The sequence below is a fragment of the Homo sapiens genome, chromosome 3 (assembly GCF_000001405.40).
Source record: "Homo sapiens chromosome 3, GRCh38.p14 Primary Assembly".
In the NCBI taxonomy this organism is placed as follows: domain Eukaryota; kingdom Metazoa; phylum Chordata; class Mammalia; order Primates; family Hominidae; genus Homo; species Homo sapiens.
The window spans coordinates 24,206,988-24,229,612 of record NC_000003.12 but is presented as its reverse complement, the minus strand read 5'-3'; the positions used below and the strand labels follow the sequence as shown (position 1 = coordinate 24,229,612).

General features: G+C 40.9%; 1 protein-coding gene across 53 annotated transcripts in view; it reads left to right on the top strand.

Moving 5' to 3' along the window:
• The window catches only part of THRB (thyroid hormone receptor beta), a 378,556-nt gene that overhangs the window by 266,096 nt on the left and 89,835 nt on the right, over positions 1-22,625 (top strand). For 49 of the 53 annotated variants that reach the window (NM_001374822.1, NM_001374823.1, NM_001374824.1 and 46 more), the window contains one exon: positions 612-675. The exons of the other annotated variants lie outside the window; for them this stretch is intronic. In NM_001374822.1, the coding sequence (NP_001361751.1) occupies positions 654-675 (22 nt within the window). In that variant the 5' untranslated portion in view covers positions 612-653. The remainder of the gene's footprint in view (positions 1-611; positions 676-22,625) is intronic. 53 annotated transcript variants of the gene reach the window in all.

The following is a 22,625-nucleotide window of genomic DNA, read 5'->3' as shown; positions in this document are numbered from 1 at the left end:
CCAAGTCTGACTGTTGCTCTTGGATCTCATTAAGGTAGTGGTGAGGTGGGGAGTTCAGCTCTGACTAGGACAAGTCATAAATGGGCAGATGAGAATATGGATTCAGTTCTCTAGGGCAGTGTGTCTATGACTTGAAAGTGCACATGAATCACCTGGGGGTCTTGTCCAAATGCAGATTCTGACTGAGGGGATGCCCAAATTTTCTATTTCTCACAAGCTCTCAGGCAATGTCGAGACTGCTGGCCCACAGACCACACCTTGAGAAGCAAGATCTAGATTAGAGATGCTAATACATCTTAGCCACTCTTGGGATAAACAGCAAATCTGTGAGCTGGTAGCTTTCTTAAAAATCTGAGATGGAAAAATGTGCGCTTGATAAAAAATTTATTTTTAAAACATGTTTATAGAAGGAACCCTGAGATGAAAATTAAGAGGTCTTACAAATTTACACATATCACATAGCCCACCTATGCTTCGGTGTCCCCAGTTCTGAGTTGAGAGTAACAAATATTGCTTCAAGGTAATTAATGCATATGATATTGTTTGGAACAAAACCATTATGGAAAATGCAGATTATAATCTGTGATTTTTTTTGTATTTTTTCCTTGTAGGAGATGTCAGTGAAAAAAGGGATCCAGAATGATTACTAACCTATGACTCCCAACAGTATGACAGGTATCTTTTTTTTTTTACATTTTCTTTGTGTGCCTCCATTTTTGTTCCACCTAGAGTGAAATTATAGATTCTTAAAGATTAACTTGCGAGTTTTAGCAACCGTTATTTCCAAACCAATAAGTGTTATTAAATCCTGTGAATACCTCCCTAGAAATGTACTTCCATCTTCTTCTGATATAAGATGCATCCTCACCAGAAAGGTGATGGAGAGGAAATGACTATTCATTTTTAGCCATCCTTTAGCCATTGCACACTAAGTTTACTATTTTCTTTTCTTTTTTTTCCTTTTTTTTTTTTTTTTCTTTGAGACATGGTCTTGCTCTGTCACCCAGGCTGGAGTGCAGTGGTGCACTCACGGTTTACTGCAGCCCCAACCTCCCAGGGCTCAAGTGATTCTCCCACCTCAGCCTCCCAAAGTGCTTGGATTTACAGTAGGCCACTGCACCCGGTGTATGTTTACTTCTTACAGTCATTCCAATTAATATAATAAATGGCTCTACATACTTTGTGACCACAGAAAGTGTATATTTTCAGAAGTTGGCTGTTTATTCCATTCAGCAGTAGAGTCAGAATGGAATATGATTAGGTCATGTAAGGTATAAGTCAGTTATAAAACTCTTAGCAAGGGTCAAAGGAGAGGCAGAATGACCTTGGAGGAATACAAGGTTGCAATAGCACAAATTCTTTGTGCAATTTATAGAGCGATGGTTGTACACTCAGTGGTGCCAGGGAATAGGCTGATAACACCAGTGATGACAAAGGTTAGGTAAAAGGAAAAACAAGTAAACAAAGCTGGAGAACTCTGGTTCTCTCTAAAAGGAAGCCATCTCCCACTCTAAGCAATCACTGACAAGAAGGAATGAAGCCCCATGTGTCCAGAGATTTCAAATTTGCAAGAGAAGTTGGAAATTCGGATTTTAAATGAAATATCCCAAATTTTAGATGTTAGCAAATAACTTATAAAAATTTTATAGACTTATGGCTCAGTCGAAATATGTCTGCTAACTAGAATCAACCCATGAGCTGTGAGTTTATGACCTCAGCTATATACCTTCCAGCCTAGCAGCAAGTCCACCACTGTCCTTTTTGTTACCATGGCAACAGGGCAGGTCCTCATAGACCTCTGTGTGTCGAGGATGCAGCCTGACCTTTGATTATCTATTCATGTCACCTCCCCACCCTATGATAAGCTAAACATGTAGGACAAATTGCTCCAAGAACTTATTCTCCAGTAGACCTGAGAAACTGAAGCAACTGAAAGTTGCCACTCAGCCTTCTAAAAGTTTTGAAGCCTCCCAATGACCATAAACTTTAACTCTCCCAGCATCTTTGCCCAGCCTCTCTACCCACCCGTACTGGAGCTCCTGATATAGCAAAAAGATGGGGTGCCTGGGCAAATCACAATGATTCACACCTGTAGGAGCTGAGGGCATCGGAATCACATATCTTCTTATTTCACATCAACAGGCACCAAAACGCACCCACTCCCACATCTATTCCACTGCCAACTAGGTCAAATTCTCCGCCACTAAAATCGCACTCCTTCTACGTCATAAACCAACACATTCAACCTTAGCTACAGCCTCAATGTTTCTGTTGGGATGAATGGCAATCTCAGTCAGGAGGAGTGATGGCCTAAGTCTTTGCAGGCACACGCAGGTGTGAGCACACAGATACCAGACAGCAGGTAGCCACGCTGCAAAATGGAGGGACAGTATTCCTTTCTGATAAAGGAGGACAGTGTGAGAGCAGGTGCTATAAGGATGGCTCTCTACTCCATGATAATTTGCCCACCTGAAAAAGTGTCCAAAGATCTGGACTCAAAGAACATACCCCAAGACATATGAAATGGCAAAACATGGTGTAAAAGTAGGTAATAAAATGGTCTTCGCTTGCTGTGGGGATTAGTTCTAGGTACAGTGCAGTTCATCTAGGGAGAGTGACCATTCATTCCAGCTCCTCTGGATCAGGGGCTGGCAATTTTTATTGTTGTTGTAAAGGGCCAGTGAATAAATATTTCTGGCTTTGCAGCCCATACAGTGTCTGTCATAATTACTCAATTCTGCCATTGTAGCATGAAAAGCCATAGACTATATGTAAATAAATAGACTTGGCTGTGGTTTACTACAAATTTATAAAACAGGCAGCAGGTCAGCTTTGGCCCATACTTTGTGGACCCTTGTTCTAGAGCCCAGGGTGGTCCAGGCAGTTCTCTTCTAGCTACAAACCATCTCATTACTGAGCAGAGCCCCCAGGTCTGAGTCAGCTTGAGAGCTGAGCTAGGAATCTAGGCCCACTCCTAGACAGCTCTAGGGTAAGCCAGCTTTTCAGCCCATCTTGTGGAAGCTGGGATGCTTTCCTCGCAGACTGAGCCAGAACCCCAGCTGCCTCCTAGTGAAGGAGGGAGTTTTCACTTCCAGCATTTGCTTCATAGTGGAGAAACTAATTGTAGTTCTATTTTCAAAAGAAACCTACTCCAGACACATACATGTACAGTATACGTTAGTGGGCTCATATGAGAAAATCATTACTTTAGATGCCCTTGTTTGTGTATGAGATAAAACAATGTTCTTTTCCCTCCTTCGATTGCAGTGGGCTCAGGGGTACATGTTTTAAGAAACCCAAAGGAAGACCATAATGAAGTTATAAGCTGTCAGAACTAAGTGCTTGCTCTAGGAGCATACTTCAAAGGCCAAATGTGCATATTTTTCCTTTGAAAAGCATAATAGATAATATTACTGCTATTCAACACAGGAAATCAATTAAACCCTTATGAAAAGAAAATCATTTTTTAGATGATCAGTAGTTAATATGGAATCTATTTTCCTCAAACAGAACAGGTCAGCATTTTCAGATAAATGAGGCATGTTTTTTGTAGGCTCTTTCAACCGCAATGCTTATTAAATTTATGTACTTTGCACTAACTCGAATGAATAATTGTTTATTTTTTGAGGTTACTTAATATAAGCTACAGTAGAGTCAGGTCTTGCCAAAATTTTCTCACTGCTTTACGCCACCTAATTTGAAATTAGGACTATATGAAATCATTCATTGAAAAATGCGATTCCTTCCAACCTCAGCAGAAACAAGAAAAAAAATACAATTCTTAAAGAAGGAAGTAAAAAAGTACCTTGATACAATATTTTATCTGTCTGGAATTAAGCATCACTTCCTAGATAATCTGAGGGAAATTCTGCTGACATTGATGACAATATAATGAGCTCTATTTTTAATAAAACCGTGATCCTCAGCATAGGGAAATTTGTTCCAAGATATGAGTAGCTAAAATGTTAAATACCAAAGTTAGAGGCTTTTGGCCTTGACTGAACAGGAAACCAAGAATTCAAACTGTGCTGGAAGAGGCAAAAACAAAGACCCATTATGTTTGCGCTGAACCTGGCTGTATGATATTAGGATATGGCATAAAGCTGGCAAAGTACTTGACGTTTTCATTGAAACTGGGCCTCCAGTAATTTAAAGTCACTCTATTATGATGCCTTTAATGTGAATAATGTATTCCCCATTCAGTTATTAACTTGGACTTCTTTGTGACTTGCTTGTTTGTTTAGCTTCCCTACTGTGGGAAGGTATTTTCTTTATCAAGGCATTATTCTTGAGTATCCCTCTGTAGCAGGGAAGGGATGCGTGCCAAGATAGATAGGAGCTTTCAGATGTTACCCCAAAATTTCCCACCATGTGATCTTTGTACTGTTTCCTGTGAGCTTGCTTTGGGAGGGCTCATGTGTTAAGCAAAACTGAGAACAACCCAGGTTTTTAAAAATTTCCCTTATGACAACTGAGGTTGAGCATTTTTTACATGTTTATTCACCACTCGCATTTCTGCATCTGTAACTTGCTTGTTCATAGTGATTGTCCATTTGCCCACTGTAGTTTTTGTCTTTTTCTCATTAATTGTAGAACCTGTTTATGTGTTATGGATATATGAGCTCTATTTTGGATAAAACCATGATCAACAGCATAGGGCAATTTAGGCTGAGATGCGAATATGCTAAATGTTGAATATCAAAGCTAGAGTCTCCTTTTGCTAAGTTAACTAAGCAAGTCACGTCATCTCCCTAGATCTTGAATTCCTTATCTAATAATGAGAAAGTGAAAGCAGTTCATCCCTAGTTCCCCTTCCACTTCTCAAATTTGAATATTTATAAATCACATGTTCATAAAGTAAGGCATACATACATTGATGGTTGAGTATAAAGAAAAAGTGAACACTGAGGCAGTGCATTTTGTGTTTTGAGACTGTCCTACTGAACAAGCTTTTCAGAGTCAGACAAAACATTTAAGTTGGGAAAACTCGGCATTTTATTGTGAAGCCCATGCCATTTTTCAAAGGTGGACCTTCAGGTGTCCCTTAGGTTTTTCAGCTGCTTCTTAATGGCCATTTCTTCCTTCAGAAATAGATTCACGGTGGTGCATATGTCCTACAACCTACGTAGAATGGCTTTCCATGGTTTCAAAAGGTTACTGATGGCAAAATAATGACACCATTCAAAAATAACTAATGTTAACACTGTACATATTGTTAACATTTCCTGCTGTCAATAAACACGCTTCCTCAAAGGGATTTGTTCATGGCTACTTAGTAATTCATCATATGGTGATATAGTCCCTGATTATTAGGCTATTAACATAATATTGTTATAAATAATATACGATGAATACATATTTATTACATATTGACATGATGAATATATAATGAACTGCCTTGTACATAATTTTGCATCTTTCCGATAATTTCCCTCTGGATAAACTCTACTATGTTAAAGGAAATGATGGGTCAAAGGGACTGAACAGCTTTAAAAACTTTTTCTGTTTTCACATTTTAGCCAGATTATTGGACCAATTGAGACATCCAACAGCAGTTCAGCCTCCATTTAAGTATATACCCTCCAAATGTAGAAATTTTTGGTATAGTTAGCCTATTTCTTTGTTTTTGAGGAGGTAATTTATTAGGCAAAATTGTATCAAGCCTTTCAAAACTTTATATTTTTCTTATTGATTATAAATTTGACTATATACCCCCCCCACACACACATTGATTGGTGACTCAAACTTCACCTTTTATAACTTAACCTGTTTGTTTAACTTTTCTATTGTGGTATTTGTCTTTTTCTTAATGATTTAGATATTAGGGAATTAATTCATTTTCTATCTTAAACAGTATATATATTTTTCTCAATTTAGTACATATCTCTTCTTTTTGTTTATGGCAATATTTAACCTTAATTTTTCTTCCTTTGAAATAATTTTATACTTACAGGAAAGTTGTAAAATTAATACAAAGAATTTCAAGCCATCCTTTACCCTAAGTCTTAAAATGTTAATTTTATCACATTTGCTTTAATCTTCTTTCTCTCTCTTTCCATCTCTATCTAATTTTTATTTCAAACCATTTACAAATAAATTGTAAATATGGTTCCATAGCATTTTTGGTCATACAAAAGCTTTTAATTTATATAGAATGAGTTCTATTGAGGTGTCATTTATGATTTATTTCTTTGTTGTCAAGCTTAGTAATATCTTCTGATGAGTACTGAGGGACAGACCTCAATGGGCTCTTTGGAATGTGTTAGCACTTTTATTTCAACATGTAGTTCTTTTTAATTAGACGCAGGAATGACTTGCTTAAGGTTGAGGATTTTTCTCTCTCATACTTACCTTTAACACTTGCATTGTTACCTTTGTGCACCAAACACTCACACAAAGTGGTGAGCCTCTGAGGCAAGGGAGGGGCAAACCTGATTGGTGGAGGTCCTTCTGTCCCTTCTCCCAAACTCAGGACAGTCAATCCCCAGGCCTTAGGACTGATTACAGGTGTAGATGAAGTAATAACAGAAGCCAAAGGAGAGCAACGATGCAGAATGCCAACACGACCCTCGGCTCCGCTTCCCACAGTGCCATAGAGCTGGGAGGCTTTAGATAGATGGACACGCTCCTGGCATAGCCATTCTGAAGGGAAATCTGGAGGTTTATTGCAATTTCTCCTGAATTCCTGTCTCCCCAGATGTGACCAAAAATAAAACTTGGCCTTGGATTCCATACAGCCATCTATACACATTACGAATGCTGCCATGAATAGTTTGGCAGAAAGAAAAATAGCCCAAATAGCTAGCTCTACTGTTGGCTAAGCTTTGATTTTATTTCTTCAGTATTTAACCACACAATGTGATGGGGGCCTTTTTGCTCCTCCCTCTGCATGCTGTCACTTCTAAAAGAAATAAAAATCTCACTGCAAGTAGGCTAGAAAGGAAGCATCTGTCTTCCCCCAAATTCCTTGAGGGCAGAAGGGAGGCTATTACACACATCACACAGAAAGTCTTTAAATTCATGCTCAGACATCTCTCCCACAGATCCATGCCTCACAGGAACTGCTGAAACCTCACATCCTCTTCTCCCTCTCTCCCCAGAGGCTAAAACCCTGATGAGTCGGCTGTACACACTGCCTCCCCTCCCCGCTGCAGTCAGGAATCTGGACCCTTCGCTCCCCTCCCTCTTCTCCCCACTACTACCTCCACCTTCAAGACTGTGAGCCTCTTCTCTCCACTTCCTCGATATGTATTTCCTTTTAAAACCCCACTCAGCAAAATAAACAGATCTTCCTTGGGACCTCACTTACCTTGGAAAGCAAAGGAAGGGAAAACCATAAATATTTGTCATCTTACTTTTTTTTCCTGTCACACACAAATTGGTAGAAGAGGATGAAAATCACTCCATGGCTTCCATCCAGACTAGGGAAGAGAGGAGACCAGCACCTCAGTTCACGAGTTTCTCTAGTTTCTGCCATAATAAGGGGCAAATCAAGAGACCACCAGGAAGAATTTCTGTGCAGCTAATACATCACCTTTTTCTTTAAAACAAGAGCAAATGCTCCTTTTTTCCTCATGAAACAAAGAACGGTAACTCTTCATGTGGTATGACTGGGTAAAAGATGCCCTATAGGCTACATGAAGAAGGACTGGTCCTCTTGTGCTCTGACTGTCTCTGTCCTCCTTTCATCCCTCCTGTTTAACTTCCTGAGCTTCTCTTGGAAGAGAAACTTACTACAGAAAAGTAGGGAGCTTTCTGAAAGAGACCAGATTAACAAAATCTCACCAAATCCAGACAGACTAGCGAAAACCTTCCCTCAAATCTCCCAGCAACTCTTAGACAATTACTTCTAGAACAACTTCAGTTTCCAAATTTGAGCAGCTAGGTAATCAGGAAGTTGAAATGTCAAAAGGACAAGACTTTATAGAGAGTAGAAGGTGGGAGCAGAAGAGTGAAAAAAAAATTCTTTCTCAGCAACCCCTGTATTCTTCCTAGAAGTCACCCTTTACAGAAGGCACCCTTTACAAAGCTGGCTTCTTCTCATACCCCAACCACAATCATCATCACACCAACCTCCACTATGATCATTGCCTCCCACATCATCATCCCCATTATCCCCACCATCACCACTCTGCTAAACTCATCTCAGTCTCCTGCAAGCCCTGCTGTAACCAAGAGCTGTCCAGCACATCTCTACCTAACTTTTTTCCTAACAGTCACAAATAACAGCTATAACTTAACAAGGTTCTGTTATGTGGGGATGTATCTTCCTCTCTAGTCTCCTAAATGCCACTAAAGTCCACAGCAGTTGCACATATATAGGTGCAAATCCCTTCAAAAGAAAACAATTTTCCCAACCAGAATTTGGTTTCTAATGACTATATGGTGTTATTTTGTTTGCAATGAGCCAAGAGTTATTTTTATACGGCACCACCACCTGCCACCATTGCCATCTGAAAAGTCCCAGGCGCTTGTTTTATCCATCTTTGCTTTTCTTTCAAGTCTTGGCTATGATGACATTCTCGCTCTGGAATCTGGCTGTGTTGTAAAAAGGAAACTAGTGTGGAATGCCAGTTCCCCAAGCCTGCAGAGTGCAGATGCTTTCTTGTCTTGGTTCTGTAACTGAACTGAGTCATTTTCTCTAAGCCATGGTTCACACATTAGCAGGCTGAAGCCAATGTGGTGAAGTGTCTTGCCCAGGGCCGCCACAGCAGACTGTTCAGTATTTGGACCATCAGTTCCCAAAGACTGGGAAACTGTGGGTTAAATGGCTTCAAATGGTGATTATGTTTCTTTCTTTTTTTTTTTTTCTTTTGTTTAACCTTGACTGAAGTTCTTTGTCTTTTTCATGCTGCATTTCCAAGGAAGATGTATTAAGCATTCTTTCTTCTCCTTTTTAGTAAGCTGAGACCAAATTAATAAAATCTCAGCAAATTTAGTCAGATTAGCAAAAACCTCCCTCAAAACTCCTAGAGATTCGGACAATTGCTTCTAGAACAACTTCAGTTTCCAAAATGACAGCCAGGTGACCAGAAATTTGATCCCTCTCTTTGAAAGAGGACCTAAGTTTGTCCTGCTCAAACTTGGCTGCATATTAGAATCCCTCTGGGAGCTTTCTTTTTGAGACAGGGTCTCACTCTGTGGCCCAGGCTGGAGTGCGGTGGAATGATCTCAGCTCACTGCAACCTCCACCTTCCAGGCTCGTGTGATTCCCCCATCTCAGCCTCCCGAGTAGCTGGGACTACAGGAACTCACCACCACACCTAGCTAATTTTTGTATTTTTTGTAGAGATGGGGTCTTGCCATGTTGCCCAGGCTGGTCTCAAACTCCTGGGATCAGCTGATCCATCCCCCTTAGCCTCCCAAAGTGCTGGGATTACAGGCATGAGCCACCACACCTGGCCACTCTAGGAGCTTTTTAAAGTCCTGATGTCCATGCCATCCTAGACCAGTTTAATAGTAATCTCCAGGTGGGGGCCCAAGACTCAGCATTCTTTTAAAACTGTCCAGGTAATTCTAAAGTACAACCCAGTGGGACACAGTGGTTCTCAACCCTGCTGCCTATTACACATCAGCTGGAGATCTGTTAAAAAATACCAGTGTCTGGGCCCCACCCCTAGAGATTCCAATTAATTGGTGTAAGGTGAAACCTCTGGTAGCTTTGTTTTTTTAACTCCTCAAGTGATTCCGCTACGCATCTGGTGTTAAGGAAAGAGCTGTTGTTCTCAAACTTGGTGGTGGGATCAGAATCACTGGGAAATTTAGCTTAAAAAGAAAAAAGTTCTATCCAACCATCTTACCTAATGACAAGTGCCTTGGCTTTTCTTGTGCCTAATTAGCTCTCCAGGTGATTCTGATGCACACAGAAGTTTGAGAATCACTGATGTAGAGGGTTTTGTTTTTTCCACAGAAAATGTTAGTTTGGCCATCTGAGTACCTACAAAAAAATCTAAAATATTACCCTTTAATCTAGGCCTAACCTGACCTAGGGTGGGCAAATTGAAATGTAATTAGTGATGCTCTACTCCTGAGGACTGTGTAGGTGTCTGTTGTTACTTTTGCCCACAAATGACAAACTCATGGTTCCTGAAACCATGCATTTGACCAGTGAACATCAGCATCTTCACTTACCCAAATGGCTCATCAGAACAGCAAACTCTCCAGCTCAAATGATCACAAAGTCCTTCAGGCCTGCACTCCAAGGCCAGCATTTTTCATTGAAGTAATGGAACAGTCATGAGGAAACTTGTTTCTCTGTCCCACAAATGATTTGATAGGCATCGAGTTTAAAATCCTATTTTTTTGTTTTTGTTTTTTGAGACAGGGTCTCACACTCTGTCACCCAGGCAGTGGTGTGATCACAGCTTACTGCCATGGAGACAGTGACCTCCTCCTCCCAAGGAGACCTCCCAGACTCAGTTAATCCTCCCATCTTAGCCTTGTGAGTAGCTGGAACCACTGGCACACACCACCACACTCAGCTAAATGTTTTTATTATTATTATTTTTTGCAGAGACAGGGTCTCACCATGTTGACCAGGCTGGTCTTAAACTCCTGGGCTCAAGCAATCCGCCCACCTCGGCTTCTCAAAGTGCTGGAATTACAGGCATGAGCCACCACGCCCGAGCTTAGAATGCTATTCTATGCTGCTTTAATGTATTGTCTTTAGATGTGTGGTACTTTTGGTTATGGGAAGAGGTATTTATATACTTATTATTTTTAATTTTTTTAAATAAATGAGAGGACTTCCATTTTGGGGTCTGAAGAGAATATAGCACTCTGGTGAGCAGTCCCCATAGGGTTATTGTTCTCAGCCTGATCTACATGTTTAACTCACTTGGGGAAATCTTAAAAATCCCAATGCTGAAAATGCTGAACTTTTCTCAAAGGATTGTGGTGAGGATGTAAGATTTATATAAATCACTTAACATAGAGTCTGGAGCACTGGGGCACAACATACAACAGCCATTATGAGGGAGTACCTGGCACATAGTAGATACTCACTAACTTAATTTACTGTGGAGAAAACAGCCAACAGAATTACGATCCTACAATGGAAAAAAAAAACAAATGTAAATGAGTGTTTGTACTTTTTTAAGAAGTTTGTTTTGCAGCTAACCTTAAATGTCTATAGCTTTGCTTAGCCCATTCCCATAATTCATGTCTTCTCACTAGTGTCACATACAAATTTAGCACCCTAGCTAGAATTTTCTAAAAGAATTTTCCGTACAGCTAAGGACTTTTCTTTTTAAAAAAAAAAAAAAAAAAAAGAGAGAGAGAGAGAGAGACAAAAAATTTATTTGTTATTCTTTATGGAAATTTTTTTTTGTTTTTTGTTTTTTTTTGAGACAGAGTCTTACTCTGTCGCCCAGGCTGGAGTGCAGTGGCGCAATCTCGGCTCACTGCAAGCTCCGTCTCCTGGGTTCAAGCCATTCTCCTGCCTCAACCTCCCGAGTAGCTGGGATTACAGGTGCCTGCCACCATGCCCAGCTAGTTTTTTTGTATTTTTTAGTAGAGACGAGGTTTCACGGTATTAGCCAGGATGGTCTCGATCTCCTGACCTCGTGATCCACCTGCCTCAGCCTCCCAAAGTGCTGGGACTACAGGCGTGAGCCACAGCACCCGGCCAGGAAAGATATTTTTAATGAAGCAGTAATCTAAACATAAGATTTGAAGCAAACAATTCGGGCAAAAGGAAGTAGATAGTTTTTCATACAATCTCTTCCTTTCTGCAATCCCTGATAAAATAAGCATCTTTAAACATTTGTTGCTATGATTATTATTGTTGCTTAATTTTTTAACAGGCATCAGTTCCTAGGCCAGACAAGGCAAGGGACCACACCACACAGTATTTTCCTGAATGCCTAGCGTCCTGCAGGATGGAGGACTTAGCATGATACAATCACATCATGTAGGAAGTCATAGCAGAAAATGGGAGGGGAAACATACCTTCCCACTACTGCCAATAAAATGTGTTTAAAAGCACTGGCTTCCCTTAATTCAATTTCATTTTACTTGCTTGGTGTCAAATTGTGATTTTCAACATTTTTTTTTTTTGCCAAGATCCTCTTATTTTCTCCCAACACACACGTCCCTTGAACCCCGTGCTTTCAAACATCTTACCTGCCAAGCCACTTTTATGAAGTAATAGCATTCATTGACTGGTTTTTAATCATCAAAGACATATTTGGTTACTAATCTGATGTTTTCAATGAGCAGGATGAAATGATCAATGTTCCCACGCTATACAGATGTATAGAAAAATTTCTATATCTTTTTCAAAAATCTGAAGGCATTTTTCATGGAAGTGTCACAGACTGCCTCATATTATTGTACAACTTCCCTTGGGCCTTTTCAAACTTTTTAAATGGCTCATAGTTTCCTCTGACGCTGCTTTTATAGACCTCAGGTTAGAAACATTTGAAAAAGAAAATTCTGAATATTCTTGTACCCCAATTTTCTCAACTCTAAGTAGGATTACATTCTTATATTAATTAAATATTATATTAATATCTTATAATTCTTATAATATTTATTATTTTAATATTATAAGAGTGTAATTCCTACTTAGGGTTGAGAAAACTGGGGTACAAGGACTATGGAACCATAAATGAAGCCATCAGAATACCAATTACTGCTGGCATTACCTTTCATCAAAAAAGTCTTTCAGTATTATTATAAAATCATTCTTCAAAGATTTCTATGTAAATGAATATAAAATAGCCCATCGAACTCAGCAATGCATAATGAAAATATTCATGAGAAGTTTAATCATTTAACACCATGCTCTAAATTAGATTAAGAAATTATTGGGATAAATCAGAACATTCGTAAATTCTTTAAGTTTCTCAACAGAAAATTCTAATACAATTTAACATTTTTGAGCATCTCAGATATTACATACTAAACATATAAACATGACTGAGCAAGAGTTCTTGCCTTTGAGAAGCTCATAGTCAAGAGATCACAGTTTCTAAACACAGCAATTCATATATTTTTTTTTTTGAGGCGGAGTCTCGCTCTGTCACCAAGGCTGGAGTACAGTGGCACAATCTCGGCTCACTGCAAGCTCCGCCTCCCAGGTTCAGGCCATTCTCCTGCCTCAGCCTCCCCAGTAGCTGGGACTACAGGTGCCCTCCACCACGCCCGGCTAATTTTTTGTATTTTTTTGAGTAGAGACAGGGTTTCACCATGTTAGCCAGGATGGTCTCGATCTCCTGACCTCGTGATCTGGCTGCCTTGGCCTCCCAAAGTGCTGGGATTACTGGCCACTGCGCCCAGCCAGCAATTCATATTTTTAACATCTGACTCATGGAAGTTCAGCATTGGAAGGAATCTTAGAGACCATCTAGTTCAATGCCATGAAATTACAGGTGGAGAAACAAAGCCCATTAACTTGAAGTAATAAATGTGTGGCCCTGCAGCAGTGCATCACCCAGACGATTCAGTTGTTTGCCTTCACACTTCTCACACCTTAAGCATCCATTGACTCTGACTGGATTTTTAAAATATTGAATGATATAAAAGATAGCCAAGCTATTTGGAATTGTAAAGCGTCTATTAGCAAAATAATGCTCTCCACTGCAATAAATGAACCCCAAAATCTCAGTGACTTAGTACAACAGAATTTTATTTCTAACTCATGCTAAGTCTAGTACCACATGTTCTTGGTTGGCAGGTGACACTTGTCAAGGTCATTTATGGACCCAGGTTCTTTCCTTCTTACATCCCCATCTACCTCTAGGACTTCAGAATTTTCTCCACTAAACAGAGGCAAGAGAAAGACAATGAAACAAAACACATAAGAGGTGTTTCACAGGCCAGACCTGGAAATAGTGCCCAATGCTTTCATTCATTCTATTGGCTAGACCTCAGTCACATGGCCGTGTCTCACTGCAAGGTTGCTGGGAAATGCAGTCTAGCTGTGTGCCCAGGAAGTTAGGAGTATGCAGATTTTGATAATGAGTCTGTGTCATAAAGGGCTATACAAATGCCTAATAACGTTATGGAGATCAGTTCAGGAAGGGCTTGATCTTTACAGTGAAGTCATCTTTTTGTTTAAAAAGTGTCTGTTTCAGTCCTCTGACCCTATTCCAGGTTTTACCAACATCTCTAGACAGGGGTAGGATGGTCTGTTTTACCCACCTTTCCTGGTTGCTGTTGGAGTTGGCATGGAGTAATGGAAAGAAAACAGACTTTGGCGTCATGTGTCCTTGGGTTCAAATCCCCAGTTTTCCACTAAGTAACCTTGTGACTTGGAGCAAGTTGCGTAAGCCTCAATTTTCTCCTTGTAAAATGGGGGCAGATAGCATCCTAGAGTTGTGGTGTGAATTAATTAAATCATTTAGTAAACACTTACTGAGAGCCTACTACATGTCAAGTCCTATGGTACACTCTGGGGAAATGGCAGAGATTTTTTTTAAAGGCACAGAGCCTAGATTAATAAATGATATATATACAGTTATTGTCATGAGAAAGCACTCAGTAAATGTTAGTGCTCTTGCTTTTTTGCCCTCTATAGCTAAGCTGTGAAGATATGTTCATCCCTAGAAATTCTAGATAGAATAAACTAGTGAATGATGGATCTGTAAGATGGATAGGTCAAGTGGAAAACGTTTCAAATGTTTCCATTGTTCCTGTTGTTTGAAATTGATTTGATGGGGTGATAATATTTATGTCTATGAAGGATGTTTAATTTGCAAGGGCATAAAACATAATGATTTGAGCTGCAAACAAATACTTGTTCAGTCCCAACAAGAGTAAACAGAAACATCAAATTGGAGAGCCCTCTTCAAGACTGGTGGCCTTTCCATTGCTAAGCCTCCTTTACAAATGAGATGAGGAGGGTCTTCAGAGATGGTGAGGACCATCTCTGGTTGCAGGCCAGGTTGCAGGCTTCCTGAGGACCAGAAGGGCAGTAAATTTGCAGCAGCCCCTCCTACTCACTGACAGATCAGAAGGGGCAAGCAAGGTCCCCAAGAGAAGGAGGATAACACCATGTCGGCATCTCAGCCACTGATGCAGCCTTGGTCTTTGGGATTCAGAGACTGGTGAGGGTTTTTGCCTGAGGAAACCGGCACCTTCGGTGCTCTTTGACTCCTTCTTGTCTCTCAGCTTTTATTGTTTCCTATGATTTCCAAATAGAGCAGAGGACCTTTATATTTGTTTTGTTTGATAGCCTGCCTATTTTTTCCTCTCTTGCTTCATGCTTTCCAGGAAGCTGTTTTATTTCTCTTTACTTCTCTTTTATCTTTTTACCTTAAATGCAGAATAGTCTGGGGGAGAAAAGGGGCACATAATGAGGATGATGGGTCTTCAGACCAAAGTACATACCATCTTGACTCCAGCTAGCCCTGCACCAGCCATTTTATATGCCCTAAACCACAGCTGCATTGCTGACCCCTAATGCCACAGAAGAGCTAAAGGCACAGGCTTTGTCACATCCACCTCAAGTCCATTGTGGCTTTACCTCTTCAGCTGTGACCTTGGGCAAGTCGCTTTCCCTTTCTTAATACTCAGTTTCTTTACCTGTGAAACGGAGATGATCATTACTTATGTCAGTATTCATGTGAGGGTCAAAAGAAATAACAGAATGTGCATAGCATCATGTCTAGAAGGTAGGTAGTGAGCCTCTAATAATAAATGACAGGTGCCATCATCATGATCCCCCACAGTGACCATATCTGCAGGCCAAATGCACCAACCTTGCCAGAAAAGCTGTGATGGGAACAAATGCAGCTGTCTTGTTATCTTGCTTCAAACTTAGAGGACACATTTCACATTCCCCATTAACCAAATGCCATCCAGTTTTCCTGAACAACCCATTCCACAGCTAAACACTAAAGAGTCACAGGTTTGGCTCAGAAATGAGTCTTCTAGTCGCACTTTCCAGGCCTGATCCTTGAGAATTACCCATTAATTTTTTAAATCCCTTTAGAATGTTTGTGCAGAAGACACCACTGAAAGTCTATGACTAAAGCTCCTGGATCCTTTGCTAGGGCCTCCCTCCACAATACATCTGATTGTATTGTCGTCTCCTTTCCAGATAAGGATTTTTCTGAAGATCCTTCTATATGTGGTTCTTCTCTACCCTCTTGTCTTAGGAGAACTGGAAATATTGACCAGGGCTGGGATTAGCCTTCTCTCTGTTTCAGGCAGGGACAGTTCTATCCATGATAAGTTTCCTCTCCTTCCAAAGTACACAGTCCATGGCATGTTTAATTAATAGAGTCCTGGGTAAGATTCCAACTTTCCAAGATTAAGAATGTGCTTTGCTTCCTGACCCTGTCAAGCCCCATCCCTTCTCAAGAATTTTCCATGTGCCACAAATCAACTAAATAAAGGCTTTTGAACACCACATGCACTGGCCAAGAGGACAAAACCTAAACTGGCTACAGTATGAGGCTCCTGGACCTGGGACAGCTTGGCCCAGTCCAGTGATAATTTCACCAAACACACTTCCTAATCAGTTTTCTCTGTTCTTCTCTTCTCTCTCTCAGAAACTCTTGCCATTTAAGGGTCTGGTCTACTTGGCACCCTTACAGTTTTTTGCTGCTGTTCTCCACTCCCATTGTTCATGTCATACCGTATCGCCAGAGTTGCTCACTCCGCTTAAAGAATGGCATTGTTTGCCACTCCCCAGGGGCACACTGGTTTAGAACGTCTGCCAGTTATCTTGGCAGAAGGAATCATCTGAATGTTTTGGCTCAATATTATTTAATCCTAAATAGTCAGCTGCTGCCTTAATCTTGAGGACAAATTAGATACAGAAGACAGAGGAATCCAGTAACTGAAATGAGGAGGTCGCTTCATCTAGATGAGGGCTATTTACCTTCACCCAGCTTTCTCCCAGGCTGTCTCAGCACTCCCTGTACTATCTGGAAAGCAGCTGATGGACGGTTGTGTTCTGTGTCAGCATAATAGCGGGGGATCAAGGCTTGGTTTTGCCTGTAACTCTCCAAGTGGCCTGGATCAAACCATATCACCTTCATGGGTCTCAATTCTCTTTTCTTTCTTTTTTTTTTTTTTTTTTTTTGAGACGGAGTCGTTCTTTGTCACCCAGGCTGGAGTGCAATGGTGCGATCTCAGCTCACTGCAACCTCCACCTCCCAAGTTCAAGTGATTTTCCTCAGCCTCCGGAGTAGCTGGGATTACAGGTGCCCGCCACCATGCCTGGCTAATTTTCGTTTCGTTTTTTGTTTTATTTTGTTGTTTTGAGACGGAGTCTAGCTCTGTCACCCAGGCTGGAGTGCAAGGGAGCGATCTCGGCTCCCTACAACCTCCGCCTCCCAGGTTCAAGCGATTCTTCTGCCTCAGCCTCCCAAGTAGCTAGGATTGCAGGCACCTGCCACCAAGCCTAGCTAATTTTTTGTATTTTTAGTAGAGATGGGGTTTCATTATGTTGACCAGGCTGGTCTCGAACTCCTGACTTCGTGATCCACCCACCTCGGCCTCCCAAAGTGCTGGGATTACAGGCATAAGCCACCATGCCTGGCCAATTTTTGTATTTTCAGTAGAGACAGGGTTTCACCATGTTGGCCAGGCTGGTCTCTAACTCCTGACCTCAGGTGATCCGCCTGCCTCAGCCTCCCAAAGTGCTGGGATTACAGGCGTGAACCACCGTGCCCAGCCTCAATTTCCTTTTCTATAAATAAAGTTGAACTGGTGTGGTAATAAGGTCCTTTTTAGCCTGCAAATATTGTCTGCATTTTATTACTCAGAGCCCATTGAACTAGGACCAATTGATCTGGTTAATTTGCCTCTGAAACTGGGCATGAAATATTGCTGCACATCATCTTAGCATACATGTCCCTAGATGAGGGTCGGAAAAACAAAGAGTCTGAAGAACAAGATAAAGACTTCATGAAGTCACTCCAGTGTGGCTTAGCCAAGGTAGGATCACTTTGGTTTGGCACCATCATAAGCTGGCAAAAAGAATACAATCTTCAGTTTCTAAGCCTTCTCATTTTAGAAGACATCTCTGCAGTGCATCCCCACTGCTCATTATTTTTTCAAGCTGTGTCTGCTTCACTTGCTTAAGATAAAAGCCTACACAGTGTGCCATCCAAATATAGGTCCACGGCAGTCCAGAGAGAAGACAGCCTGAGGTTTACGGTGACAGGACATTTTGAATACCTAACAAATCGGCTGTATCATATCAAAGCCCACCAGTCAATATTAGCAATGAAGGGAAATGAAAGTAAGGTTTGTTGAGGGAACAGGAAGTTTCCTGTACTGTTTCTCCCCTTGCTGGAAAGCAATTGTGATCAATACCAGGTGCAAATCATTGCTTGTAAGAAAAAAGCATTCATGATTATATATCACAAGCACCACATCACAAATATACTTATGTGTATTATGACTTTTAAAAGGGAATAGTGCTTTATAAATCCCACCATCTTTTTTTTTTTTTTTTGAGATGGAGTCTTGCTGTTGCCCAGGCTGGAGTGCAGTGGCGCGATCTTAGCTTACTGCACCCTCTGCCTCCCAGGTTCAAGTGATTCTCCGGCCTCAGCCTCCCAAGTAGCCAGGACTACAGGCAACCTACCGCCACACCTGGCTAATTTTTGTATTTTTAGTAGAGACAGGGTTTCACTATATTGGCCAGGCTGGTCTCGAACTCCTGACCTCAGGTATTCCACCCGCTTCAGCCTCCCAAAGTGCTAGCATTACAGGCATGAGCCACCGCACTTGGCCCCACCATCTTTTATATCTTCCAAAAACAAATGTCCACATTACTATGGAACCCTCCCAAAAACTCCATTGATTGAAGCTGACTTTCCACTCAATTAGTGACCATTTAAAATAGGTTTCTGCTAGCACTACACCTGTCAGTCATTCATACCTTACTTACTGTCAACCAGACATTCCCTCCGGGAATCAGTCATGCTGACTGGTAGAAAGGAGATAACAGGTGTAAATTAGGAACTCCAGTGCCAGGTAGCCCAGCGTCAGAGGATGAACGCTTTGAATCAGAAGCATTGGAAACTCACTAACCTCACAGTTTCTCAGTCTCAGCACTGTTGACATTTGGGGACAGATAATTCTTTGTTGTGGGGGCTGTCGTGTGCAGTCTAAGATGTTGAGCAACATCCCTGGCGTGTACCCACTAGATGCCAGTAACACACACACTCCAAGTTGTGACCACCAAAAAATGTCTCCAGATATTGCCAGCTATGCCCCACAGAAGCAAAAAAAAAAAACAAACAAATAAACCAACCTGGGTGAGATCCACCAGCCGGGGATCTCCCCAGCCAGGGATCCAATTATTTGGATCGAACAAATAATCTTCACATGAAGGGAACATGCAGGTATGGAATTTTTCTTCCAGAGCAGTTTCCTCACTTTGGCAGTTTCCTCCCACCCTCCCCATCTTTTCAACTTTCTAGGTAAATGTGTCCTGAGAATTGAGGCAGTTGTAGATAGGGCCTCCCAGGAAGCAAATTGCCAATTCTCCTTGGTGTAGTAAGCATGGACCATTTTGCAGCACCGTCCCCTGAACTTGCCACATTGTCCTAAGTGAATATAACAATGAAAATATACAAGAGAAACATGCCACATTTAGGTTGGAGAGCATTTTGACATCACCGTTTTGTTAATTCTGTTCTCTCCACAGAAGCTGTCATCTGTAGACACGTATCAGAACAAACAGAATAATTGTTAACAGCACAATATTTTTTCTTATTTTGGTTACTATTTGGTCAGAAAATATCTCAGGCCAGACTTTCATTACTAGAAATGTTTGTATCTTAAGCTGTGATTTTTTTTCCAAAAATTATGTCATTTTTTTTTAATATTTTAAGTTCTAGGGTACATGTGCACAATGTGCAGTTTGTTAATTTTGTATACATGTGCCATCTTGGTGTGCTGCACCCATTAACACGTCATTTACATTAGGTATATCTCCTAATGCTATCCCTCCCCGCTCCGCCCACCCTATGACAGGCCCTGGTGTGTGATGTTCCTCTTCCTGTGTCCGAGTGTACTCATTGTTCAATTCCCACCTTTGAGTGAGAACATGGGGTGTTTGGTTTTTTGTCTTTGTGATAGTTTGCTGAGAATATGGTTTCCAGCTTCATCCATGTCCCTACAAAGGACATGAACTTATCCTTTTTTATGGCTGCATAGTGTACCATGGTGTATATGTGCCACATTTTCTTAATCCAGTCTATCATTGATGGACATTTGGGTTGGTTCCAAGTCTTTGCTATTGTGAATAGTGCCACAATGAACATACGTGTGCATGTGTCTTTATAGCAGCATGATTTATAATCCTTTGGGTATATACCCAGTAATGGGATGGCTGGGTCAAATAGTTCTAGATCCTTGAGGAATCGCCACACTGTCTTCCACAATGGTTGAACTAGTTTACAGTCCCACCAACACTGTAAAAGTGTTCCTATTTCTCCACATCCTCTCTAGCATCTGTTGTTTCCTGACCTTTTAATGATCGCCATTCTAACTGGTGTGAGATGGCATCTCATTGTGGTTTTGATTTGCATTTCTCTGATGGCCAGTGATTATGAGCATTTTTTCATGTGCCTGTTGGCTGCAAAAATGTCTTCTTTTGAGAAGAGTCTGTTCATATCCTTCAACCACTTTTTGATGGGGTTGTTTTTTTCTTGTAAGTTTGAGTTCTTTGTAGATTCTGGATATTAGCCCTTTGTCAGATGCGTAGATTGCAAAAATTTTCTACCATTCCATAGGTTGCCTGTTCACTCTGATGGTAGTTTCTTTGCTGTGCAGAAGCTCTTTAGTTTAATTAGAACCCATTTGTCAATTTTGGCTTTTGTTGCTTTTGGTGTTTTAGACATGAAGTCCTTGCCCATGCCTATGTCCCGAATGGCATTGCCTAGGTTTTCTTCTAGGGTTTTTATGGTTTTAGGTCTAACATTTACGTCTTTAATCCATCTTGAATTAATTTTTGTATAAGGTGTAAGGAAGGGATCCAGTTTCAGCTTTCTACATATGGCTACCCAGTTTTCCCAGCACCATTTATTAAATAGGGAATCCTTTCCCCATTGCTTGTTTTTGTCAGGTTTGTCAAAGATCGGATGGTTGTAGATGTGTGGTATTATTTCTGAGGGCTCTGTTCTGTTCCATTGGTCTATATCTCTGTTTTGGTACCAGTACCATGCTGTTTTGGTTACTGTAGCCTTGTAGTATAGTTTGAAGCCAGGTAGCGTGATGCCTCCAGCTTTGTTCTTTTGGCTTAGGATTGTCTTGGCAATGCGGGCTCTTTTTTCGTTCCATATGAACTTTAAAGTAGTTTTTTCCAATTCTGTGAAGAAAGTCATTGGTAGCTTGATGGGGATGGCATTGAATCTATAAATTACCTTGGGCAGTATGGCCATTTTCACAATATTGATTCTTCCTACCCATGAGCATGGAATGTTCTTCCATTTGTTTGTGTCCTCTTTTTTTTTTTGTTGAGCAATGGTTTGTAGTTCTCCCTGAAGAGGTCCTTCACATCCCTTGTAAGTTGGATTCCTAGGTATTTTATTTTCATTGAAGCAATTGTGAATTAAGGTTCACTCATGATTTGGCTCTCTGTTTGTCTGTTATTGGTGTATAGGAATGCTTGTGATTTTTGCACATTGATTTTGTGTCCTGAGGCTTTGCTGAAGTTGCTTATCAGCTTAAGGAGATTTTGGGCTGAGACGATGGGGTTTTCTAAATATACAATCATGTCATCTGCAAACAGGGACAATTTGACTTCCTCTTTTCCTAATTGAATACCATATATTTCTTTCTCCTGCCTGATTGCCCTGGCCAGAACTTCCAACACTATGTTGAATAGGAGTGGTGAGAGAGGGCATCGCTGTCTTGTGCCAGTTTTCAAAGGGAATGCTTCCAGTTTTTGCCCATTCAGTATGATATTCGCTGTGGGTTTGTCATAGATAGCTGGCAGAGTGCAGCTGTTTCTGACAGTAAGAGTAGGCTCTTTTGCTGGCTTTGGGGTTTCTGCACTATATGATTGAGGTATAGGAAGGAAAAATGGGGAGGAATGGGGCTGTGCAGCTGGGTAATGTGATGGGTTTCTTGGAGCTCAGTCTGAAGGAGACAAGATGATGATGTCTCTCGCCCCCACCTGGATGTCTGAGCTCTTATTATTTTGAGATATGTCCCATCAGTACCTAATTTATTGAGAGTTTTTAGCATGAAGGGCTGTTGAATTTTGTCAAAGGCCTTTTCTGCATCTATTGAGATAATCATGTGGTTTTTGTCATTGGTTCTGTTTATATGCTGGATTATGTTTATTGATTTGCGTAAGTTGAACCAGCCTTGCATCCCAGGGATGAAGCCCACTTGATCATGGTGGGTAAGCTTTTTGATGCGCTGCTGGATTCAGTTTGCCCGTATTTTATTGAGGATTTTTGCATCAATGTTCATCAGGGATATTGGTCTAAAATTCTCTTTTTTTGTTGTGTCTCGGCCAGGCTTTGGTATCAGGATGATGCTGGCTTCATAAAATAAGTTAGGGAGGATTCCCTCTTTTTCTATTGATTGGAATAGTTTCAGAAGGAATGGTACCAGCTCTTCCTTGCACCTCTGGTAGAATTCGGCTGTGAATCCGTCTGGTCCTGGACTTTTTTTGGTTGGTAGGCTATTAATTATTGCCTCAA